Raw genomic sequence first — 22,684 nt, 5'->3', positions numbered from 1 at the left:
CTGAGGTCAGGAGTTTGAGACCAGCCTGGCCAACATGGCAAAATCCTGTCTCTATGAAAAATGCAAAAATTAGCCGGGTATGGTGGTGCATGTCTGTAACCCCAGCTACTCGGGAGGCTGAGGCAAGAGAAGTGCTTGAACCCGGGAGGCGGAGGCTGCAACGAGCTGAGATCATGTCACTGAACTGCAGCCTGGGTGACAGAGTGAGACTCTGTCTTTTTTTTTTTTTTTTTTTGAGACAGAGTCTCGCTCTGTCGCCAGGCTGGAGTGCAGTGGTGTGATCTCAGCTCACTGCAACCTCCACCTCCCAGGTTCAAGTGATTTTCCTGCCTCAGCTCCTGAGTAGCTGGGACTACAGGCACACGCCACCAGGCCCAGCTAATTTTTTGTATTTTTAGTAGAGACAGGGTTTCACCATGTTGATCAGGATGGTCTCGATCTCTTGACCTTGTGATCCGCCCGCCTCGGCCTCCCAAAGTGTTGGGATTACAGGCGTGAGCCACCGTGCCTGGCCTGAGACTCTGTCTTAAAAAAAAAAAATAATAATACGAAAACAACAAAAACAATGACACCAATTAATATGGCACAGCTGCAAATGCCTCATATCTACTAACATTTTGCAGCCTCCAACAACAATAAATAAGTGCTTTTATTTTCTCTGTTTCATAGGTCAGGAAACTGAGGCACCAAGAGGGAAAGTGCTTGTGAGATCCAGGCAGGGAATTCAATTCCAGCCGCCTGGCTGTAGAGTCTAGGTGCCCTCAGTGGAGCCAGTGGACCCAAGAGCTGACATCAGAGGCTGAAATCCGAGCTGTGTGGCATCCCTGTGGTCACTCGTCCCAACTGGGTGTTGATCCAGGACCTGCAGGCTCACGAGCTCTGGAGAAAAGAGGGAAATGGGTAAATGCTCCACTGGGTGCAGTGTTGTGTTTATTCCCTGGGGACTTTTCTCTCTTCAGTTGCTCCAAAACCAGATTTGCCCTTTCTCTGAGGGAAGATGAGGCCCCCACTTTTTTCTTCCTCCCTCCTTGCTTTTCCCAGCCCCTGCCAGTTCCCTCCCATCACTCCATCAACATCAGCCCGTGCCCTGTGCCCACCACTCATCGTGCAGGGAGGGAAAGGGCCCCAAGACTAAAGGACAAGACCCAAGAGGGAACCCAGTGCCCTCCTCTCAGGCCTGACCAGTCCTGTTACAGTGAGAGGCCTCCCCAAAGAGAGGCCCTGACCCTTGCTCTCAGTCCCCAGGCCCTCCTCTCCTTCAGAGGCACCTACACACCAGGGCAGGCCCTGCCCACTGTGGGCTCTGCCCTCTATCTGCAGCTCAGTGCTCCTCCCCTCCCAGCCCTGAGCAGGCAGCTCCTAACTGGGGACCCCATCAGGAAGCCTGGGGGGCCCAGCAGGCCCAGCATGGAAAGACGTGGCTGCCACAGGATCTGCACCTGACCTGACCCTGGGACCCCCACCTTGCTCGAGGAGGCCTGGCCTCTCCTGACCCTCACAACCCAAGCCTGTGACCTGCTCTTGAGTAACCGCTACTCCTGCCTGGTCCGCTTAACCCTGGAAACGCAGCTCCACCCCAGGGCTGCTGCTTGGTGAGGCTGCGAGGCCTTCCTGCTCTGTCCCTAGCAGGGATTCCACCCGGCCACTGCCCTTGCAACCTACAAGGGATTTTCTCCATGTGGAGTAGGGGAGACCCCTTAGCCTGAGGCTGCCTCTGCCCACCCTCTGCACCTGGGAACTGCCACTGCCACAGCCACCATCTCCACACAGAACCTCCTGGAGAGGGGGCTCCAAATTTGAGTTCCTGTTTCATTTAATATGCTTTACAGTATTAGGAAATCCTATTAAGATTGCAGAGCTGAAATTATGAAAATCTTTATTGGACATCGCAGGAATTTTGAGAAATTTGTGTTCCTGTTTCATATAATATGCTTCACAATATTAGAGGAAATCCTATTAAGATTATAGAGCTGAAATTACGAATATCTTTACTGGACATCAACATTGAAAGCAGGAATTTTGAGAAACTGGCACATGAACTTCATACTCTTTTCCTGGCCAAAACTCCAGTGACCTATGAGGAAACCATTCCTGCCCACAGGGAACCAGAACTGACAATCCCTCTACGGGAGACGCCACAGGTGAGAGCAGGAGTGACCACAGACCTGCACTGCCCCTGTTGTGGGTGCCTCCTGGACAGGGCCCTCTTGCTGCAGGGCAGGGGACAAACCTTCCCATCTGCTCAGGCCTGAGGGGCCGATTGACAGTGCAATTAGGTTCAAGGATGAGAAACCAGCGACCCTACTGCCAGACACATCCTCCTGGACACCCCAGCCTCTTACTGTCGCCTGAACTGCTTCTGTCTTTGCAGAAACACAAAACTTCCTGCTGTCTCTTTTCATCCCCCATCAAACAACCTGACTGTAGGGGAAATGATTCTGACCGTCCCTTACTCCAAACTTACCAGGCAGTGACCACCTTTAGAAAGGGAAATTGGCTCAGGGAGGGCAAGGTGAGGCCACAGAGCACAGATTAAATCCCCAAAAACATGGGCCCTGAGGACTGTGTCCCTCAGGGACTGGAGAAGAAAACACTCGGAGGTAGGATGAAAACAGGGACCACAGCTGCCCTGATGAGGGGCTGGGCCCCACTCCTCAAATGGCCCAGGGACATCTGCTTATCTACTCATCCATGTCATCTGCAAGAAACTCAGGGAGGCCAGGCCGTGGGAACCTGGAAAGAGTAGGGCCTCGAATGGTGCAGAGGACACGACAACCCCAAGAAAGCTCCTGGAGGAGGTGCATGGGGAGCTGCAAAGTGGACAGAGATGGCCATGTGTGCTCAGGACCCTCCCTGTTACAAGGGGTCTCCAAAGGGCTACACAGGCAGGGCCCCCAGGCTGGGCCTCATAGGTCTTTTTCTCGGTGTCCGCCCCGATGGCTGGAGAAACAGGGGAGGGGGATGCAGAGAGGAAGGGAATAGGGGCACCGCCTCTCCTCAGATTCCTCTCCAGTTTCTGGCCCTCCCCAGATCACAGCTGCCTTTACTATTTGCTCCCTCTGAGGCCGTGATCATCCAGGCCCTTAGCATTCAGCACGTGATTCCCAGCTCACCCCACCTGGATGCGCCCTAGTGAGTTCAAGAGACACAGAGACCGGGATGGGGACAGAGCAGGCGCCGCAGCCCTCCCTGCTGCCCACTCCTCACCTGCAGCAGGAGGATGCCACAGCTGGGCGTTTGACCCTTGCTTGGGCAGCACTTATGGGTGTAGATGGAGATGCTGCCCCCATTCCCTTCCCAAATTCCCCAACTTTCATCCCCTGTTATGGAAGCCTTGTCACCAACATGCCTATCTTTGCAGGAGCAATGAGGGGACCCTACTGCCCAGACAGGGGCCTTACCATCTCCAGAAACTGCCCGCTTTTCTCACCTGGACCCTCTGCAGCTGATGTTTTCTTCTTACAACAACGGACATAGAAAATAATAATAACAAAAATAGCAGCAGCCAGCAGCAACAGCAGAAACATGGAATGTCTGCCAATGACTCTGAAGCACCAGCACTTTCCCTGAAAAAAAGGGACTTGTTATACACTGGGCAGAGAGCCACAGCCATCCCTGCTGTCCCTACCCTGGCCTGACCCTCTCCAGGGTCACCCTAGGCTCACCAGAGGGCACAGGGTGAGTGCTGTGATTCCCGCTGTGTTCCATGTAGCAGGTGAACCTCTGCTCCTCTCCTCGGCAAATCCTGGTGGCCACCCAGGTCTGGTAGGTTCCATTCCCATCAGGCAGGACATCCCCCCACTGCTGGGTGTCGTGGCTCAAAGATACCCCATCCTGACGCCAGGTCAGTATGATATTCCGGGGATAGAAGCTGGAAGCCCTGCATGTCACGGTGATGTTGCCCTCTGAGGCCTCGCTGCGGGTGACATTCACCATGGGGGGCACTGGAGAAGAAAGGGCAGAGCCAGTGAAGCCCTGCTCCCCTCTAAGGAGGGGAGAGGAACAGGGCTGTTTCTCTTCACTGTTCTCACTCTGGCTGAAGCCCTCCGGGACCCCTGACCTGCAAGTCTGTCCTCACTCTGGGGCCCAGTTCTTCCAGGCTGGCAGGAGGATGGGCCTTGGGACTGTGGCCTCAGGCTCTGGGATCCCCACATTGATGCTGAGGAGGGGGATGTCAGGGGTGGACTCCTGGGTTGTGGGGCCAGGAGGGAACTCTCCAGGATGGGCAGGCTGGGAGGCAGAGGGGGCAGCCCTGGCCCTGAAGGCTTCCTCTCCTGCCTGACACCCACCACAGGCTCAGGATTCTGTCGGAGGGTCCTCTACTTGCCCTGATTACAACACTGGATGGTCCAGTCCCTGACCCTCTGTCTTTATCCAGTGGCTCTAACAATAGAGGAAAATCAGGACACGATGTGCCAACAGGAAATGCCTTCATCCATAGCACAGGGAGGGTTTCCCTGGACACATCTGGGAGGTGAGGCAACTCTAGCAGAATTGGAGGGAGAGGAGAGCCCCTGGCCAGCGTCGGTACCTGTTCTCCTCAGGACTACGCCGGATTCTAGATATCGCCGTAGTTCCTGCAGGCAGTCTGCATGCATAGCGTGATAGTGTGTCTTGGTCTTCATGGCATCTTCCTTCAAGAAATTCCTGACGTTCATGGCCAAGGTCTGAGCTCTGGAGGACTGGGGCACTGTCCATTCCTCAGTCTCCAGGTTTTGGGAGAGGAAGAGCTCCCCATCGTAGTAGAAATGCTGGGAGCTCCTGGTGCTGTTGTCTTCATGGATCTCACAGACCCTAATCTCCTGGAGGGAATGCAAGCCTGCCCCCACCCAGCAGTGACTTCTCCATTCCCGAACCCATCACCTTTCCACCCAAGTGAGGAACTCAGCCCAGGGGGTATGCCTCCCTGGCCCTCCTCCATGCCTCCCTGTGTGGGCTGAGTGCCGGCTCACCTCCCTGCTGAGTTCCACTGACCCCCATTCCTCACCCCCAGCCTGAGCCAGATCCAGTGGGAAGAGACAGGTCCCTGCTCTCTGCCCCTAACTTTTCTGGAAAAGGCCTCTCCAGTCACTCTTGCCCCTGCCGACTCTCACCTTCTTTCTGGTCCTTGATATGAGCCAGGGTCATCCTGAGGTCCTTTCCGTTCCCTGTCAAGTCCCTGGTCTCTCTGTCCCATGTCTTATTTCCCAGGACATCTTCTGCCCACTGTCCCTGGGGCTTTGCCCTGCATTTCTGCCTGTCATAGCGCAGGAAGGGCTGACCATCCAGATGTACCTCAGCAAGAAACCCTGACTGCACAGATCCATCCCAGGACAGCACCGTGAGGTTATAACGAAGACTGTGGGGCTCTGGGGAAGAGGAAATCACAGGTGAAACTTCTTCCTGGAAGTAACTTCACATTGATGTTTAACACACAGGTCTGCTGTCCCAACCTTCCTGGGGCAGGAAATGCACACGGGCAAAGGGACAAGAACGAGGATTTCATATACAAAGAAAACTGTGAGGGTGGGAGGATAGAGGAGGGGGCTGATGAACAGAAGAAGGGGGAATGAAGATGGCAAACTTGTAGGCCAGGTGCAAGGACTGGGTGGCCACAAGCCCCCTAAGGGAATAGGGGCCAAGGGGAGAGGCTGCCCTGCAGGGGCAAGGGAGGAGCATGAAGGTGGTGGAAGGAAGGTCTTGCCAGAGGGGATGGTGGGAATGGGAAGGGACTCAGGCTCAGAGGGACCCATGTCCAGTGTGGCTGTGGTGCATAGGCTGAGGGTGAGATGGAGGCAAGGGGAGCTGCCTCGAGAAGAGACTCATCATGGGCATGGCGGGGACAAGGGAGGGGGTGGTCATGAGGCACAAAGGGTAGGAAGGTTGTAGCCCCAGAGAAGTTTATAGTGGGGTCAGTATCCCAGAGGGGAGCAACGAACGGTGTGGGCTTGGGTTCAAAGTGGAAGAGTAGCATGACAAGGCCCCAGGACAGCAATTGGATGGAACAGCTAGTGTCCACTGGGGTGAGCAGGTGACAAAGAGTCAGTTGATCTTTTCAGCAAATAGTTCTGGGGGCAGGGGGTGTTAAAATAAAATTGGACCCTTAATTTGCACTATATACAAAAATTAACTCAAAATGAATCAAAGACCTAAACTCTACACTCAAGAACTAAAACCTAAAAATTTCTTAGAAGCAAACATTGGGGATAATGTTCATGACATAGGATTTGACAGTGCTTTCATGGATATGACACCAAAGCACAGATAGAATAGAAAGAACTGACAAAGTAGACTGATGAAAATTCAAAACATCTATGCATCAAAGGGCACAATCAGAGTGAAAAAGCAATCAACCCCGAAATGAAATAAATATTGCAAGTCATATATCTGATAAGAGAAGCTATGTGGGGGAAAAAATGGGCAAAAGACTTAAATGGCCAATTCTTCAAAGAAAATTACAAATGATCAACAAACACATGAAAAGATGCTCAATATCAGCACTCATTAGGAAAATGCAAATCCAAACCACAATGAGATGCCACCTGAAACCAATCAGGATGGCTGTTATCACACACCTACACACACACATACACACACACACAGAGCAAGGTTGGCAAAGAGACAGAGAAAATGAAGCCCCTGTGTACTGCTTCTATTTCTGGATATATACCCAAAAGAAATACCCAAAGGAAATAAATATATACCCAAAGGAAATGAAATATTTGCCAATATCCAAAAGGTAGAAGTAACCCAAGTGTCCATTGTCTGAGGGATGGATAACCAAGATGTGGTACATACATATAATGAGTATTATCCATCCTTAAAAGGAATGAAATTCTGACCCATACTACAACTTGGATGAACCTCAAAAATATTATTATTATTATTGTTTTATTTTTTTTTTTGGAGATGGAATTTCACTCTTGTTGCCCAGGCTGGAGTGCAGTGGCCTGATCTCAGCTCACTGCAACCTCCACTTCCCGGATTCAAGCGATTCTCCTGCCTCAGCCTCCCAAGTAGTTGGGATTACAGGCACCCGCCATCACGCCCGGCTAACTTTTATTATTTTTAGTAGAGATGGGGTTTCACCATGTTGGCCAGGCTGGTTTCGAACTCCGAAACTCAGGTGATCCACCTGCTTCAGCCTCCCAAAGTGCTGGAAATCCAGGCGTGAGCCACTGTGCCCACCGAACCTCAAAAATATTATAAGTGAAATAAGCCAGAAACAAAAAGACAAACATTACATGATTCTGCTTAAATGAGGTACCTAGAGTGGTCAAATTCATAGAAACAAAAAGTAGAATGGTGGTTACCAGGGGCCAGAGGTAGGGAGGAATGGGGAGTTACCGATTAATGGGCACAGAGTTTTGGGTTGCACAAAAATGTGAATGTATCTAATGCCACCGAGTATACACTTAAAAGTGGTTAAAACAGTAAAATTTATGTAATGTATAATTTACCACAATTAAACTTTTAAAGAACAACATATGTCAGTCCTATTCAAACTGTTCTGAAAAATAGAGGAGGAGGGAATACTTCCAAACTCATTTTACAAAGCCAGGAATATCCTGATACAAAAACCAGGCAAAGACACATCATAAAAAAGAAAACTACAGGCCTATATCCCTGATGAACACCGATGCAAAAATCGTCAAGGAAATACTAGCAAACCACATTCAACAATACATTAAAAAAGATCATTCTTTATGAGCAAGTGGAATGTATTCCAGGTATGCAAGGATGATTTAACATACACAAATCAATCAATGTAATACGTCATATCAACAGAATAAAGGACAAAAGCCAGTATCATTCAATTGATACTGAAAAAGCATTTGATAAATTCAACATCCCTTCATGATAAAAACTCTCAAAAAACTAAGTATACAAGGAACAGACCTCAATATAATAAAAGCCATATATGACAAACTCACAGCTAGTAACATACTGAATGGGGGAAAACTGAAAGCCTTTTCTCTAAGATCTGGAATAAGACAAGGATGACTAATTTTACCACAGTTATGCAACACAGTACTGCAGATCCTAACTAGAGCAATCAGACAGGAGAAAGAAAGAAAGGGCATTAAAACTGGAAAAGAAGAAGTCAAATTATCCTTGTTTGCAGATCATGTGGTCTGATATTTGGAAAAACCTAAAGACTCCACCAAAAAACCATTAGAACTGAAGAACAAATTCAGTAAAGTTGCAGGATACAAAATCAACATGCAAAAATCAGTGCTAACAGCAAATAATCTGAAAAAGAAATCAAGAAACGAATCCCATTTACAATAGCTACAAATAAAATAAAATACTGAGGAATAAACCTAACTGAAGAAGTGAAAGACCTCTCCAATAAAAACTATAAAACAGTGATGTGGCTGGGCGTGGTGGCTCATGCCTGTAATCCCAGCACTTTGGGAGGCCGAGGCAGGTGGATCACCTGAGGTCAGGAGTTCAAGACTAGCCTGGCCAACATAGAGAAACCCCATCTCTAATAAAAATAGAAAATTAGCCAGGCACAGTGGCACATGCCTGTAATCCCAGCTACTTGGGAGGCTGAGGCAGAAGAATAGCTTGAACCTGGGAGGCGGAGGTTGCGGTGAGCCAAGATCACACCCTTGCATTCTAGCCTGGGCAACAAGAGTGAAACTCCATCTCAAAAACCAAAAACAAAAAACACTGATGCAAAAAATTGAAGGACACAAAAAATGGAAAAGATAGTCCACGTTCATGGATTGGAAGAATCAGTTTTGTTGAAATATCCATACTACCCAAAGTAATCTACAGATTCAATGCAATCCCTATCAAAACACTAATGACATTCTTCACAGAAATAATAAAAATAATCCTAAAATGCATATGGAACCACAAAAAAACCAGAATAGATAAAGCTATCCTGAGCAAAATGAACAAAACTAGAGGAATCACATTATCTGACTTCAAATTATACTACAGAGCTACAGTAACCAAAACAGCATGATACTGGCATAAAAACAGACACACAGACCAATGAAACAGAATAGAGAACCCAGAAACAATTCCATACATCTACAGTAAACTCATTTCCAACAAAGGTACCAAGAACACACATTGGCAAAGGAGAGTCTCTTCAAAAATGGTGCTGGGGAAACTAGATATCCTTATGCAGAAGAATGAAACTAGACCCTGTCTTTCACCATATACAAAAATCAAATCAAAGTGGATTAAAGATGTAAATCTATGACCTCAAACTATGAAACTATACAAGAAAACATTGGGGAAACTCTCTAGGATATTGGACTGGGCAAAGATTTTTAAAGTAATACCCCACAAGCACAGGTAACCAAAGTAAAATTGCATAAATGGGATCATATCAAGTAAAAAGGCTTCTGCACAGCAAAGGAAACAATAAACAAAATGAAGAGACCATCCAAGAATGGGAGAAAATATTTTCAAACTATTCATCTGACAAAGGATCAGTAACTGAAACATATAAGGAGCTCGAACAACTATAGGAAAAAAAATATAATAATCCAATTTAAAAATGAGAAAAGATCTGAATAGTCATTTCTCAAAAGAAGACATATAAATGGCAAACAGGTATATGAAAAGGTGCTCAACATCATTCGTCAACAGATGAAGGCAAATCAAAACTCCTACGAGATAACATCCCACCCCAGATAAACTGGCTTTTATCCAGAAGACAGGCAATAAGGAATGCTGGCGAGGATGTAGAAATAAGGAATGCTGGTGAGGATGTACACTGTTGGTGGGAACGTAAACTAGTACAACCACTATGGGAAACAATGTGGAGGTTCTTCCAAAAACTAAAAATACAATAGAGCTGTCATATGCTCCAGCACTCCCACTGTTAGGCATATACTCCAAAGAAAGGAAATCGGTATATTAAAGAGCTATCTACTTTTCCATGTTTATTGCAGCACTATTCAAAGTAGCCAAGATCTGCAAGCAATCTAAGTGTCCATCAACAGACGCATGGATAAAGAAAATGTGGTGTACATGTGTATGTGGAGAACTATTCAGCCATCGTGTCATTTGCAAAGAACTGGAGGTCATCCTGTGAAGTGAAATAAGCCCCAGGCCCAGACAGACAAACTTTGCATGTTCTCACTTATTTGTGGCAGCCAAAATTTAAAACAATGGACCTCATGGGGAGAGACAATAGAATGATGATTACCAGAGGCTGAGAAGGGTAGTGGGGAGTGGGGGAGCAGGGATGGTTAATAATGGGTACAAAAATATAATTAGAATGAATAAGATCTAGTAGATAGCACAGCAGGGTGAGTACAGTCAACAATAATTTATTGTACATTTAAAAATAACTGAAAGAGCATAATGGGATTGTTTGTAGCACAAAGAAAGGATAAATGCTTGTTGTGATATAACCCATTTACCCTGATGTGATTATTACATATTGTAGGCCTGTGTCAAAATATCCCATGTACCCCATAAATATATACATATATATCTACTACGTACCCAAACAAAAGTTAAAAATTAAAAACAAAGCAAGGGGTGGGGGTGCTGGCCAGAGAGAGAAAACCAAGGTAGAGGGGGAGATTCTCAGCCTGAGGAAGGACCTGCCAAAAGGAGTAATGCTGGAGGGGGAGCAGTGGCACCCCAAGAGCAGGCAAAACAGATTTTAGATATGCGGTGTGGGGAGTGAGAGCCCACTGGGGTCAAGGAACCAAAAGAAAAGAAGGAAGGTCAAGGAACAGTTGGCCCAACAGCCTGTTTTAGGTCTGGGTTGGGGAGGGGAGATGGGCAGAGCAAGAACTGGAGGGCGGCATGAGCATGGGGCAGGAGTGACTGTGGGAGAACTTGGGGTAGGGTGAGGACAGGAGGGGAGGGTGCTCTGGGGGAGGGTGGGGCTTGGGAAAGATGCTCAGCACTGTCATATGCTCCAGCACTCCCACTTTCCCACTGAAAGATGAGAACGTGCTGAGGGCCCAAGGCAGCTGGGCAAGAGACAGGAGCAGCACAAGGTCCCAAGGTGGAGAGGGGCGGAGGGACCAGGGAGGGATGGTCCAGCACCTGTGGGCTGGAGGGTGGGGTCCTCAAGAGGGTGAGGCTGAGGATGAAGGAGTGGGGAAGGGGCCACCATGAGGCAGGGTCCAGAGCAGGCATCTGCACTGGAGGGGAGGGGGCATCTGCGCTGCCCTGCGCCCTGCCTAAGGCCCAACTGCCATTAGCATCAGGGTTCCCCTTGGGGGTCTGGAGGGGAGTGGGATGGAGGGAAGACCCCCCCGGATAAAAGGCAGCACCAGAAAGTTAGAGTCAGGGACATTTGGGAACGGGGAGGCATAGGGGCAGCACTGGGTGAAGGCTGCTTGTAGGAAAGGCCCATAAGGGGTGCAGGAGGGACCTTCGGTGGCGGGGACAGGGGATGAGGGCAGAGGACACCCTAGAAATGGATCAGAGAACAGCACACAGGAAGGGGTAGCAGGGAGCTGGGAGGGCAAAAGGACTCAGCGGGCCCTGAGATGGGCAGGGAGGAGGTGAGAGGGAATCTGGTGTCCTTAGATCACTGGTCATTAGTAGGGGTGGGATGAGAGAGAGGAGAGGACCCTCGGAGCCAGAGGCGAGGGGAGAATGAGCTGGGGATGAGAGAAGTCGCAGGAAGAATCCTCTGCCCGGAGCCTGCAGACTCCAACCCCTCAGCTTGAGAGTCAGGACCCCCCACAGTCCCCACAGCAGCAGGAAGCACCAGCTCCGGGTCCCGAGAAAGGAGGGCCCCTACTCCAGGAGCTGCGGCCCAGGAGCTGAGAACACGTCGGCTCCGGGAGAGGACAGGACTTCAGGGACCTGAGAGCCGCCCCGAGCACCGGGGGTTGTGGCTGCTTCAGTGGCCGCGCTGGAAGGGCACTCGAATGCCATTCACAGGAGCAGCCCCGGAGGCAGCCCGGGAACCCATGGGCCTCAGAAGGACTGGTTTGTCCGAAAAGTGAGAGGAAGCGGAGGAGACGCGAGGAGAGAAAGAGCAGGAGGAGACCAGAAAGTGCAGGTGATGCGCGATCCCGAGGAGGACTGAAAAGTGACGGGGAAGCAGGGCTGAAGTGTGGCGGTAACGGGCCGCGTCCAGCTCCCTGCGCCACCGACAGGGCACAGGAGCCCCGCCCTGACCGCACAGCGCTCGCCGCTACCCACCCGACCCCCGGAAACGTCCCACTGCTCCCGCTCCGCCGAGGACCGCCAGGAACGCCACTCACCAGCAGCAGCTCCCGGAGGTGCAAAAGGGAAGATGCCAGCCAGAAGCAGAAAGACCGGGCCCAGCCCCATGGCCCCGACGTCGCCACCCTCTCAGCGGCTCAAGCAGTGGCCGGGGAGAAGGCGCCGCGGAAACTTAGTCACCTGGCCCGGTCCCCCGACCGCTCATCCAATGAAACTGGGGCCCGGAACTTAGGGCCAATCACGAGCGGAGAGGGCGGGGCCACGCTTGGAAGAGAAAATTCCAGTGGGCTGGAGACCTGGGGAGATTTAGAAGGCGGGACCTGGGGCCCAGAAAATGGGGAGCACGCGGGAGCGCAGCCTAAAGCAGGGACCAGCTTCGAGTAGCTGAGAGTACAGCTCCAACTTCATAAGCACGGCCAGGGCCCTGCCTGCCCTCCCGGCATCGCGACCACCCATCCCCGCGCCCCCACCCCGAGGAGCGCGGGCCTCACCAAGCCCCTTTCGCCGGCCGCCCCATTAAACCGGCTCTCACTGGCTTGTTCCTTCCAGGACAGACAACGCGTGGCTATTCTCCCAACACACTCCCTCAACCGCGCACAGCGTTACTGGCAATGAGACCAGTGACCAGATTTGCAGACCTGTTTCCAGATCTCAGCCACCTCTGCCTCTCAGAAGCACCTGCCGCAGTAGAACCGCTCAGACCACAAACTCTCTTAGACGTTTCAGCTTTATAATCTCCTTCTCCTCCCTTTGACTCAAAGCCAGGCCCCCCTTTCACCCCCTTATATCCTCTAAGTGTCTGAAGTCTCCCAGGGCCGCCTCTCTATTCAGTCCCTGGGTGATCACAGGGCCAAGGAGGCGGCTCCCTGTGGTTCACTACAACACCAAGCTCTCTCCAGACTCCCTTTTCCAGCCTGCCTTAGGACATCTGTACCTCCGACCATAGTCCCCTCCAATGTGAGAGATCTACAAAGACTCTCTATACGTCTGCCACCATATCATCCTCTCTTCCTCCTCAGTTTCTCTTAAGAACATCACCATCCTTGGTCCCTTCTGATTTCCTCTTTCCCCATCATCTCCGGGAGTCAAAGTCAGCTCCTTCAACGCTATTTCAATCCCACAGCCACAATCTTAGTCTAGGCTTTCCCCTCCCTTCAGCCTAGATTACTGCACAGCCTTCCTAAACACGGTGCCTGCCTCAGTTACAACCAGAGTGCTCCAAGCCACCCACAGCGCCCCATCTGCTGAATGTCACACATGATGGATGCTTCTACTCTACCGTGGAAAACCTCAGCTGCCACAATCTGCTGTCTGGCACCACCCCCATTTCTCTGGTGACATCTCCCCAGGGTTGCAGTAAACGTGGGCTCTGGGATCTCCTCACCCTATCCCACCAGGATGCCACTGCCTAAGCAGTCTCCCTCTTCCAGGCTATTGTAACCTCTGCCTTGGAACCCATCAGACCACACCATATCCTTAAAATCTTCCCAGGCTGGTCTGAGTGCAGTGTTTACAACTAATTGATCACAACCAGTTATAGATGTCTTTGTTTCTTCTTCACTCCCACTGTTTCACTTGACTAGCCTTTAAAATAAAAAGAAAAGAAAAAAGAAAAAAAGGAAAAAAAATCTTCCAGGGTAGACAGTGGTGACGGTGGCACAACCTTGTGATTACGCTAGAAGCCACTGAGCTGCACACTTTAAAAGGATAAATTGTGTGGCATATGAATTCTCAATTCTCAATAATAAGAATGCTGTCCCGAAAGCCTCTTTCTACTAAGAGAATTGCCTTGTCCCCAACGCACATCTCTTAGTCGTTGGGACATCTAGGCAGAGGTCATCAAACCTAGCCACTGCGTAGAACCACCTGGAGAGTTTTTAATATCCATGTTCCCAGGCCACAGCCACAACCTAGGTTGTTAAATCAGTAAACCCAGGTTGGACCTAAATCTTAGTATCTTTTAAAGTTCCCTAGGTGATTCCGATGTGTAGTCAAGTTTTAGAACTACTGATTTAGCCCGTGGTTTGAACCTTCCTGATAGTACTCATTGTGCCCTGCCATGAATTTTTTTTTTTTTTTTAAGAGAGGAGTCTTGCTGTGTCACTCAGTTGGAATGCAGTGGCATGATTATAGCTCACTGCAGCCTTGAATGCCTGGGCTCAAGCAATCCTCCCACCACAGCCTCTTGAGTAGCTGGGACTACAGGCGAGTGCCACCACACCCAGCTGTCATCTACCATCTTCTACCCTATGAACCCTCCAAGATCAGGAAATGTGTCCGTTTCTTCTTTGTCAGCCTCACAAACTTTTTTTTTAAGTTCAACTATCCCTGTCATTACTAACTATTCCCCCATGATCCCTAGCCTACACTTTTCTGTGGATGAAAATGTAATGTATTCGAGAATTTTAACAATTTCTTAGTTTTCCCATTCACATTCACTGATAATTTATTTTGATCCTCATAATTTATTGAGCACAGCAGGGACCGGGGTCCTTTCCCCACCTTAGAGAGATTATTTTCACTGCTAAAGATCATAAGCCTAGTGAGAGACTGGGAGGGAGATGGACCTAGCTCTCCTGACACAGGTCCCAAGCCCTTACCTCCACGGTGTCTACCCTCCCTCCAGGACTTCCTCCGTGTGCCAGCTCCAGCAAAGGATCTGATTCAGCTCGCCCCCAAAAAAGACTTTTAATAGTTCAATAACAATAATGAATATGCAAGGTTTGTTCTAAGGCATTTAGAAATGGTTTCAGGGAGTCATGAAGCCAGTCCTCTCTTGGGCTAGGGGAGGCCGAGATGGTCTTGAGCTCCAGGGGACTTGTTTCTTAGTGCCCAGGCCTGGGCGCCCCTCCCCCACCAAGCCTCCCAGGTCTTCTGTCCAAAGCCCTCCCCCTCCACCCCACCTCCAACCCCGTCTGCTCTACCCCATCAACTACGTTTTCTCCCTCAGCACTTGCCTTATACCCCATGCACTCACGAGCACAGAGGCGACTTCCCTCTCTCAGACTTTAGGCGCCACTGCAGGGTCCGGAAAAGAAAGAGAAACGGCCCAGCGCGGTCGCTTACATAACCCAGGGCGGGGCTCCGCTCCGCCCCCGAAAGTTTTTGCGACGGAGTTTTCCCTCTTGTTGCCCAGGCTGAAGTGCAATGGCGCGATCTCGGCTCACCGCAACCTCCGCCTCCAAGGTTTAAGCGATTCTCCTGCCTCAGCCTCCCGACTAGCTGGGATTACAGGCATTCACCACCAAGCCCGTCTAATTTTATATTTTTAGTAGAGACGGGATTTCCCCATGTTGGTCAGGTTGGTCTCGAGCTCCCGACCTCAGGTGATCGCCCGCCTCGACCTCCCAAAGTGCTGGGATTACAGGCGTGAACCACCGTGCCCGGCCTTGGCCGCATGTGTTTTGAATTTTGCTGCCCGGAATTCACTGCGAGGACTGGGATCACCCGTCACCCCGCCCTGGTCTACGGAAAATGAAATGTGTTTACTGATATAGAAACGGAATAACGGCGCTGTGGGCTGGGGAGGGCCGAGCTGCCTTCAGGCTTCTGGTCTCCAGCTGCAGGGCACTCACACCTGCCCGTTATGAAAATGCAGACCCGCAGGGCAGGAATTCCGAGTCCGGGCTGGAGCGTGATCTGGAATCCGGCTCTCTTGAAACAGCACCGCGGAGGATTCGGATCCGGGTGAGTAGGAAACTGCGCCTCAGCCCCTCCCACGGGCCGCCCACGTATTCCAGGATCCGAAAACGCTTCCTGCTGCTCCGTCACCCCAGGAAGGCAGCGTCCGCCTCTGGGCGGTTCTGATGGAAACCGGCTGCGCCGCCCGCAGGAAAACCCACAACTAAGGGGCCAGGAAAAAGCCTCTTAGGGTCCCGCCACTTCAGTGAGGATCCTAATTTACACCCTTAGTTTGGCCTCCATGAAAGACTGGAGTGACCTTCACTGAAATGATACAAGGGGCCCAGGGAGCTGCGGCGCTCAGAATGCGGTGACAGCGCCGCCTCGCGTCCCTTCCCTGACCTGCTCCCGGCGGACGCGGAGAAGTTTGTTGGCCTGGAGGCTGGAATATACCGGGGATCAAATGCAGAGAATGGAGAAAAGAGGGAAGGATGGGGGGACGTGTTGAAGAAATGAGGGAAGAGATAGGAAGAAAAGGGGAGAGAAAAAGTAAAGGAGAGTTTTTTTGTTTTTTGTTTTTTTTTTTTGAGACGGAGTCTTGCTCTGTCGCCCAGGCTGGAGTGCAGTGGCGCGATCTTGGCTCACTGCAAGCTCCGCCTCCCGGGTTCAGGGCATTCTGCTGCCTCAGCCTCTGGAGTAGCTGGGACTACAGGCTCCTGCCACCACGCCCGACTAATTTTTTGTATTTTTAGTAGAGACGGGGTTTCACTGTGTTAGCCAGGATGGTCTCGATCTCCTGACCTCGTGATCTGCCTGCCTTGGCCTCTCAAAGTGCTGGGATTACAGGCGTGAGCCACCGCACCCGGCCGGAGAGAGAAAATTTAAAAGACGTAGTTTCATTATTTCTTTTATTTTTGCCCTTTATCTAGTTTTACTTATGAACATTTTTACCACAAATTTCTCTCTCTCTAAATCTGTAAATATGCTGCTATTATTGTTATTTCAGAGCCTGTGAGGGTAAGTTGCAGACAGCATGACCCTCTACCTCCAGATGTGTCAGGGTGTGTCTCCTGGGCACAAGAACAGGGTTTTTGTTTTGTTTTGTTTCACATAAGCAAAGTACAAGTCTCAAAGAGGATAATATTTTTAAATCATCTTATTGGGACATACTTTGCATGCAATAAACTGCATCTATTTAAAATGTTCAACTTGTTGAATTTTAGCTGTTGTACACACCCACATCTCCACTACCACAGTGAAGATAAAGAAGATTTTAATCGTCTCCCAAAGAACAGCTACACGATAAAATTCTATGTTGTCATTAAAAAGAGTAAGAGCAATTTTAAGTATTGCTATGAAAAGATGTGCCCAGCATACTTTTAACCTTTTTTAAAAGGTTAAGGAGGCTGGGCACAGTGGCTCATACCTGTAATCCCAGAACTTTGGGAGGCTATGGCAGGCAGATAACCTGAGGTCAGAAGTTCAAGATCAGCCTGGCCAACATGGTGAAACCCTGTCTCTACTGAAAATGCAAAAATTAGCCGGGCGTGGTGGTGGGTGCCTGTAGTTCCAGCTGTTTGGGAGGCTGAGGCAGGAGAATCGCTTGAATCTGGGAGGTAGAGGTTAGAGTGAGCCGAGATCATGCCACTGCATTCCAGCCTGGGCGAAAATGCCACTAATATCACTTACATAATATTAATATATATTTGAAGTAGGGGAAAACCTGGAAGATTCCTCACCAAAGTTTTGACAGTGACTCCAGAGACTGGGATAACTTTGTGACTTTCATTTCCTCTTAAATGTTGTGCCAGGGTCTGACCGGCAGACCCAGGCTGCACGATGGATGAATAATGTACTCAGACACCGATATTCAGTGAAAGAGTGCACCAGAGGGCCAGGCCACTCACAGAAAGGGTTGTGGCAGCTGCGTGCCCTGACTATCTGGCCCTGTGGGCCTTTATTCAGCACAGATTTAATGACAAAGGCTTTGAGTCAACACACCTGTGGGTAATTAATCTGGTCGCAGTCCCCCGGAGAGAGCAGTCCTACAAATGATCAAAGGTAAACATGCTCTTTAGATAAACTCTCTTACATGTCTTTGTACTTACTCGAAGCTATTAACTCAAGGTAAGGGGATTAGGCTGCTTTCAGCTATAACCCTATCCTGAGGCTTTTGCAAAACTTTCCACCTTCCAAGAAGGTTTGTGTCTATTTCCTATAACTTTATCTTTATAATTATTCCCACCACCTGACCAATCCCCTACAATGTTGGAATTTTATCTTTTAGTGTAAACTTGGATTTGGGTGGATTGCAGTGGTTCATGACTATAATCCCAGCTCTTTGGGAATCGAAGGCAGGAAGATTGCTTAAGCCCAGGAGTTCCAGGCTGCAGTGAGCTATGATTGTGCCATTGCACTCCAGCCTGAGTGACAGGAGGAGACCCTGTCCCCAAAACAGAAAAATAAATAAAATTTTAAAATAATAAAAATTATAAACTTGGATTTATGTGGAGGTTAAGGAAGAGAATATTTCAGTTTGAAAATATGAAGCTAAGCCCCACAACGAAATAGTTACAGAGTTTTAAAAAAGAAAATGTTCATTAAAACCCACCACCAGAAACTCTCTTTCAAGAGGATCCTTCATATTTTCATGGCATTGAATCTTTCTTAAAGTGCATTTGAAAGAGATGTTTTCAGTGGAATAGAGAGATGTGTAACAATATTTACAAAAGCGGTTGGCTGTAATAAAAAGGAAAACGCAAATGAGTGGGGACACAGGGGACCCTGTTCCATTTATTCTCAAAGCACGTTTGAAAACTGCGTTGCCATAGCGTCCTTGGGTAGAGGCAAAGTCGAGGCAGATCTTGTTCCTGGAGTATTGATTTGATTTTGGAAACGGTCCAAGGCTTTCAGAAATCAGGCTGACTTTCAGATCTAAAGTCTCAAGAATATTCGTTCTAGCAGTGAGCCTGTGAGAATCTAGCCCATCTGGGCGATGCACGCTCTGCTTCCACCTAGTGGCAGTGATTGGAAGGACAGGGCACAGTGTTACTGCATGGGTGGGGCTGAAGCCAAGGTGAAACCGCCTTTGCAAAATTATAACTAAGGAAATGATGACAGTGAAAGACATCAAACCTAACTGACCCCATCTTGCTTCCAACCGCTAAACTGCCCTTCTTCATTTCTAGGCGTAGGCTGAACTAGCCTTGGGAAGGAATTTAGTTTATAGTTTAAAGGGAAACTGTTCTTGTAAAACGAAGAAAGGCCACCGGCCATTAAGTTAGGATGAGAGGGGCTGGAATTCTGAATATTACCAGCCATTATTCCAGAGGTCATAAGATTTGCAACTTCTCCAGTTACTCTTGAAGGTAACATCACTATTGTGAACCTCAGAGTGGCCTTTTGAGATGTCTTTTCAGGTTTTTGTATTTTTAACAGCTGGAGGGCCCCATCTGGACCTGCCAACCAGTCCTGTGGCCCCCACGTTCAGGAACTGACTCAGCCTAAGAGAATGGCCTCCACTCACTATGATTTCATACCGGAGCCAACCAGTCAGCACTCCCGATTCACTGGCCCCCCTATCCACCAAATTATCCTTAAAAACTGATGAGAGTTTTTGGGGAGACTGATTTGAGTAATAAAACTCTGGTCTCCCGCACAGCTGGCTCTGCATGAATTACTCTTTCTCTGTTGCAATTCTCCTGTCTTGATAAATCGGCTTCGTCTAGGTAGCCGGCAAGATGAACCCACTTGGTGGTTACAAAGGGAGTCCAGGCCAGTGTGCATTACTGTAGTGGGGTCCAGGTAGCGGAGGAAAGGCGAGGACACTCAGGGAATAAATGGCAGAGGAAGAAGGAGCACAAGGGAGGACCCAAACCCTCCAGACCTCTCCTTCCTTCTCTCCCTGTTAGGGTTGGAGGGAACCAGCGTGGTCCCAGGAGGGGTGGCTGGTGGGGTGCAGAAAACGCCCTGGTTGCAAAGGGGCCTCACGTGCCCGACACAAGGGTCCTGGCTGTTAGCTGCTACTCATGAGTTCAAACTAGGAGGAGGCTCACATGTGTCCTTTGCAAAGTAGACTCCTTATCTCCCACTCCGGCTGGTTTCCCAAATCCATCCTGATAAAGCAGAAAAACCAAGAGCCAAATTCTGCGGGTGACCTTTCTGACAGCTGGAAGGTCCTCCCCATCCCCATTCCTTGCGTGCTCTCCTCTTGTCCTGCCCCCTCTGCTTTGTCTCCACTTCCTCATCCTTTTCCCTCTCTGGACCCTGCTCCTGAGTATCTCCCACCTTCTTCAGACAACTTCTCCTCATGAAGTACAGAGTCCCCCACCTCCAGGAAAAAGAGACAAAGACCACGAGAAGGACCTGAGAAACGCCTGTGACCCCGCCCCTGAGTCCAGCCTCTCCCTCAGCGCTGGCTCTGGCTGTGTGTGTGTGTATGTATTTTTGTTTTGTTTGTTTGTTTTTGAGACAGGGTCTCACTCTGACAGTCTGCAGTGTCCTGATCACAGCTTACTGCAGGCTCCAACTCCTGGACTCAGGCAATCCTCCCACCTCAGCTTCTCGAGTAGCTGGGACTACAGACTGGAGCCACCACACCCAGTGTGTGTGTGTGTGTGTGTGTGTGTGTGTTTGTGTATATATATACCCTTTTTTTTTTTTTTTTTTTTTGTAGAGACTGGGTCTTGCTTTGTTACCCATGCTGGTCTTGAACTTCTGGCTTCAAACAATTCTCATGCCTCAGCCTCCCAAAGTGCTGAGATTACAGGCATAAACCACAATGCCTGGCCCCTGTGTGTGTACATACAAAGTCAAAGTGCTAAACCTGGCGCCTAGGAAACATCCCCACCTAGGCATTGCTTGCAACAGTCGGTATTTTGTGCACCTGTGCTTTTATTTCAGGAGCTGGGACAGTTATATTCATCAGAACAGCACGGTGTCAAGGCCCTCACCCCCAGAAAGCTTAGGAGACACTGTTTTATGGAGGAGAGTGAGATTGGAGGAAGCCCTGACTCCAGGTCTCCTGATCCTTCCTACACAAAGCGAAGCTGAAAAAAAGTGCAGGACACTCCATTTCCTCCTGGGACCAGACAGGGAAGCCAGAGCCACCATGGATGTCAAATTCCGGCAAGGAAACACCAGTATAGCAAAATCTCCACATCACATTTTAAAGCTCACACAATGGCTCAAAGAGAACCCACATCAAAAAACCGAATTCCTAGCTCAGGTGAGATCACCAAAGTTGCCTGTGAGGCTTCGTGGAACCTGCAGGTAGAAAGGACATCTTTATTTCGAGCTGCAGCCCAGTTGCTTCTGCGTCTTGGAGCCCCTTGAAAGGACCCTCTCCCTTCAACAGTACATAGGGAGGCCATTTCTGGGGAGAAATGTAGACTGTCCTTAGACTCCTGAGGTTTTTACACTTGCTTGCTGACTCTGTGGACTTTGACTTCATCATTAAACATCTTATAATGATGTAATTTGCTTTGACTGTAAGTGTAGAACAGGACGCTGTTCCTGAATCAGGAAACAAGGGACTGGTGACCTGAACTGCCACCACCCTCCCTGGTGCTCAGATGCAATGAAATCGTGAGGCAACAAATCTATGGCTAGGTAAAGGGTCAACTCCATTTCAGCAAATGTTTCAGATGTTCCTTCCTGCCTAGTAATGTTCCAGCTTTACCCCAGCCTTAATCTTTTAAAATGTATATTTTCCTTAGCGTTGATTTTAAAGTAATTCGTATGTATTTATTACACTGGGTTTGTTGCAGTAAGCCACCTCGAATGTTGCTGTAGAATTAAAGTAAGCAAATAAATGTGTGGTTCTCCAAGGAGTTATTGCTAACACCATCTTAAAAATGTATTAACCCCAAATCCAATCACTTCTCACTCCTCTACTGCCTCCTCCCCAGGGCCATCCTCTCCAAGATAGTAAACCAGAAGGCCTTCCAGCTGGGCTGCCTGCTGACTCTCACACCCGCTGTCCATCACCCACACAATAGTCAGAGTGAGCATTTCAAATGGGAATTAGAGCTCATCCTCGCCTCCGCGTCCCACAGACATGCCAGCCTCTTCCCTTCTTAGCACAGTGAAACCCCAGTCTCTCACTATGTTTTACAGCCCCTCATCCCTCATCACAGGATCCTTCTGGCCACTCTGGCCTCATCCCACCCCTCTCGGCCCAGCTCATTCATCTCCACTAACACTGCTCAATCCTGTCTCAGGCACCTCCCACTGGAACTCCCCAAGTGCACCTGCTCCCCAGGGATCCAAAGGGATCCAAAGGCCCCTCACACCATTCAGGTCTCTGCTCAGACGTCCAGTGTTCAAATTCCCAGGAACATCTTGATCAACAGACTATATCTCCTACCATCCTCACCACCATCAACCTTCTAGCTCAAGCATATTTTCTCCATAACAATTATCACCGGTATTAGAATTGTTTTCATTTGTTTCATTGGTTGTCATGTTCTTCGAGGCAGGGACCTTGTCTAGTCACCACTTGGATTTCCAGCATCTAGAAATCCAAGGACAGAGAAGGGGCTCAATAAATATGGGTTGAGTAAATGGGTGAATATAATTGGTACACTGCTTTTTTTTTTTTTTTTTTTTTTTTTTGAGACAGAGTCTCTCTCTGTCACCCAGGCTGGAGTGCAGTGGCATGATCTCGGCTCACTGCAAGCTCTGCCTCCTGGGTTCACACCATTCTCCTGCCTCAGCCTCCAGAGTAGCTGGGATTACAGGCGTCCGCCACCACGCTTGGCTAATTTTTTGTATTTTTAGTAGAGATGGGGTTTCACTGTGTTAGCCAGAATGGTCTGGATCTCCTGACCTCGTGATCTGCCCGCCTGGGCCTCCCAAAGTGCTGGGATTACAGGCGTGAGCCTCTGCGCCCAGCCGGTACACTGCTTTTGAG

The 22,684-nt window shown here is 49.3% G+C and overlaps 1 protein-coding gene and 1 long non-coding RNA gene across 6 annotated transcripts, besides 1 other annotated feature; one reads left to right on the top strand and one right to left on the bottom strand.

The window, feature by feature from the left end:
* On the bottom strand, positions 576 to 15,180 carry MICA (MHC class I polypeptide-related sequence A). Of its 4 annotated transcripts, none has more exons than NM_001289152.2 (6): positions 15,108 to 15,180; positions 5,094 to 5,348; positions 4,532 to 4,819; positions 3,666 to 3,944; positions 3,431 to 3,566; positions 576 to 879 (listed from the first exon to the last, which is right to left on the bottom strand). In NM_001289152.2, exons 2-5 carry the CDS (start codon positions 5,125 to 5,127, stop codon positions 3,460 to 3,462), a joined length of 708 nt encoding a protein of 235 aa, NP_001276081.1. In that variant the 5' UTR covers positions 5,128 to 5,348; positions 15,108 to 15,180; the 3' UTR covers positions 576 to 879; positions 3,431 to 3,459. The 4 variants fall into 4 exon arrangements, with proteins under 4 accessions (NP_001276081.1, NP_001276082.1, NP_001276083.1 ...); NM_001289153.2 differs by having other exon boundaries at positions 15,128 to 15,180; NM_001289154.2 differs by having other exon boundaries at positions 4,532 to 4,647; positions 15,128 to 15,180.
* Positions 15,240 to 16,106: an enhancer, noted in NCBI's record as "H3K27ac-H3K4me1 hESC enhancer chr6:31367562-31368428 (GRCh37/hg19 assembly coordinates)". NCBI's record gives its function as "activates a minimal SCP1, AML or CMV promoter by ChIP-STARR-seq in primed H9 embryonic stem cells {active_cell/tissue: H9 hESC(primed)}" and the evidence as "EXISTENCE:reporter gene assay evidence [ECO:0000049][PMID:30033119]".
* On the top strand, positions 15,421 to 21,602 carry MICA-AS1 (MICA antisense RNA 1). Of its 2 annotated transcripts, none has more exons than NR_148222.1 (2): positions 15,421 to 15,837; positions 20,674 to 21,602. It is a non-coding gene; the product is annotated as an MICA antisense RNA 1 (long non-coding RNA). The 2 variants fall into 2 exon arrangements; NR_148223.1 differs by lacking the exon at positions 15,421 to 15,837 and adding an exon at positions 17,383 to 17,832.
* Positions 21,603 to 22,684: the final 1,082 nt, after the last annotated feature.

This window comes from Homo sapiens, chromosome 6 (assembly GCF_000001405.40).
Source record: "Homo sapiens chromosome 6, GRCh38.p14 Primary Assembly".
Lineage (NCBI taxonomy): Eukaryota > Metazoa > Chordata > Mammalia > Primates > Hominidae > Homo > Homo sapiens.
Note: the sequence above shows the minus strand (reverse complement) of the source record. Positions and strands in the feature narration are given on the sequence as shown.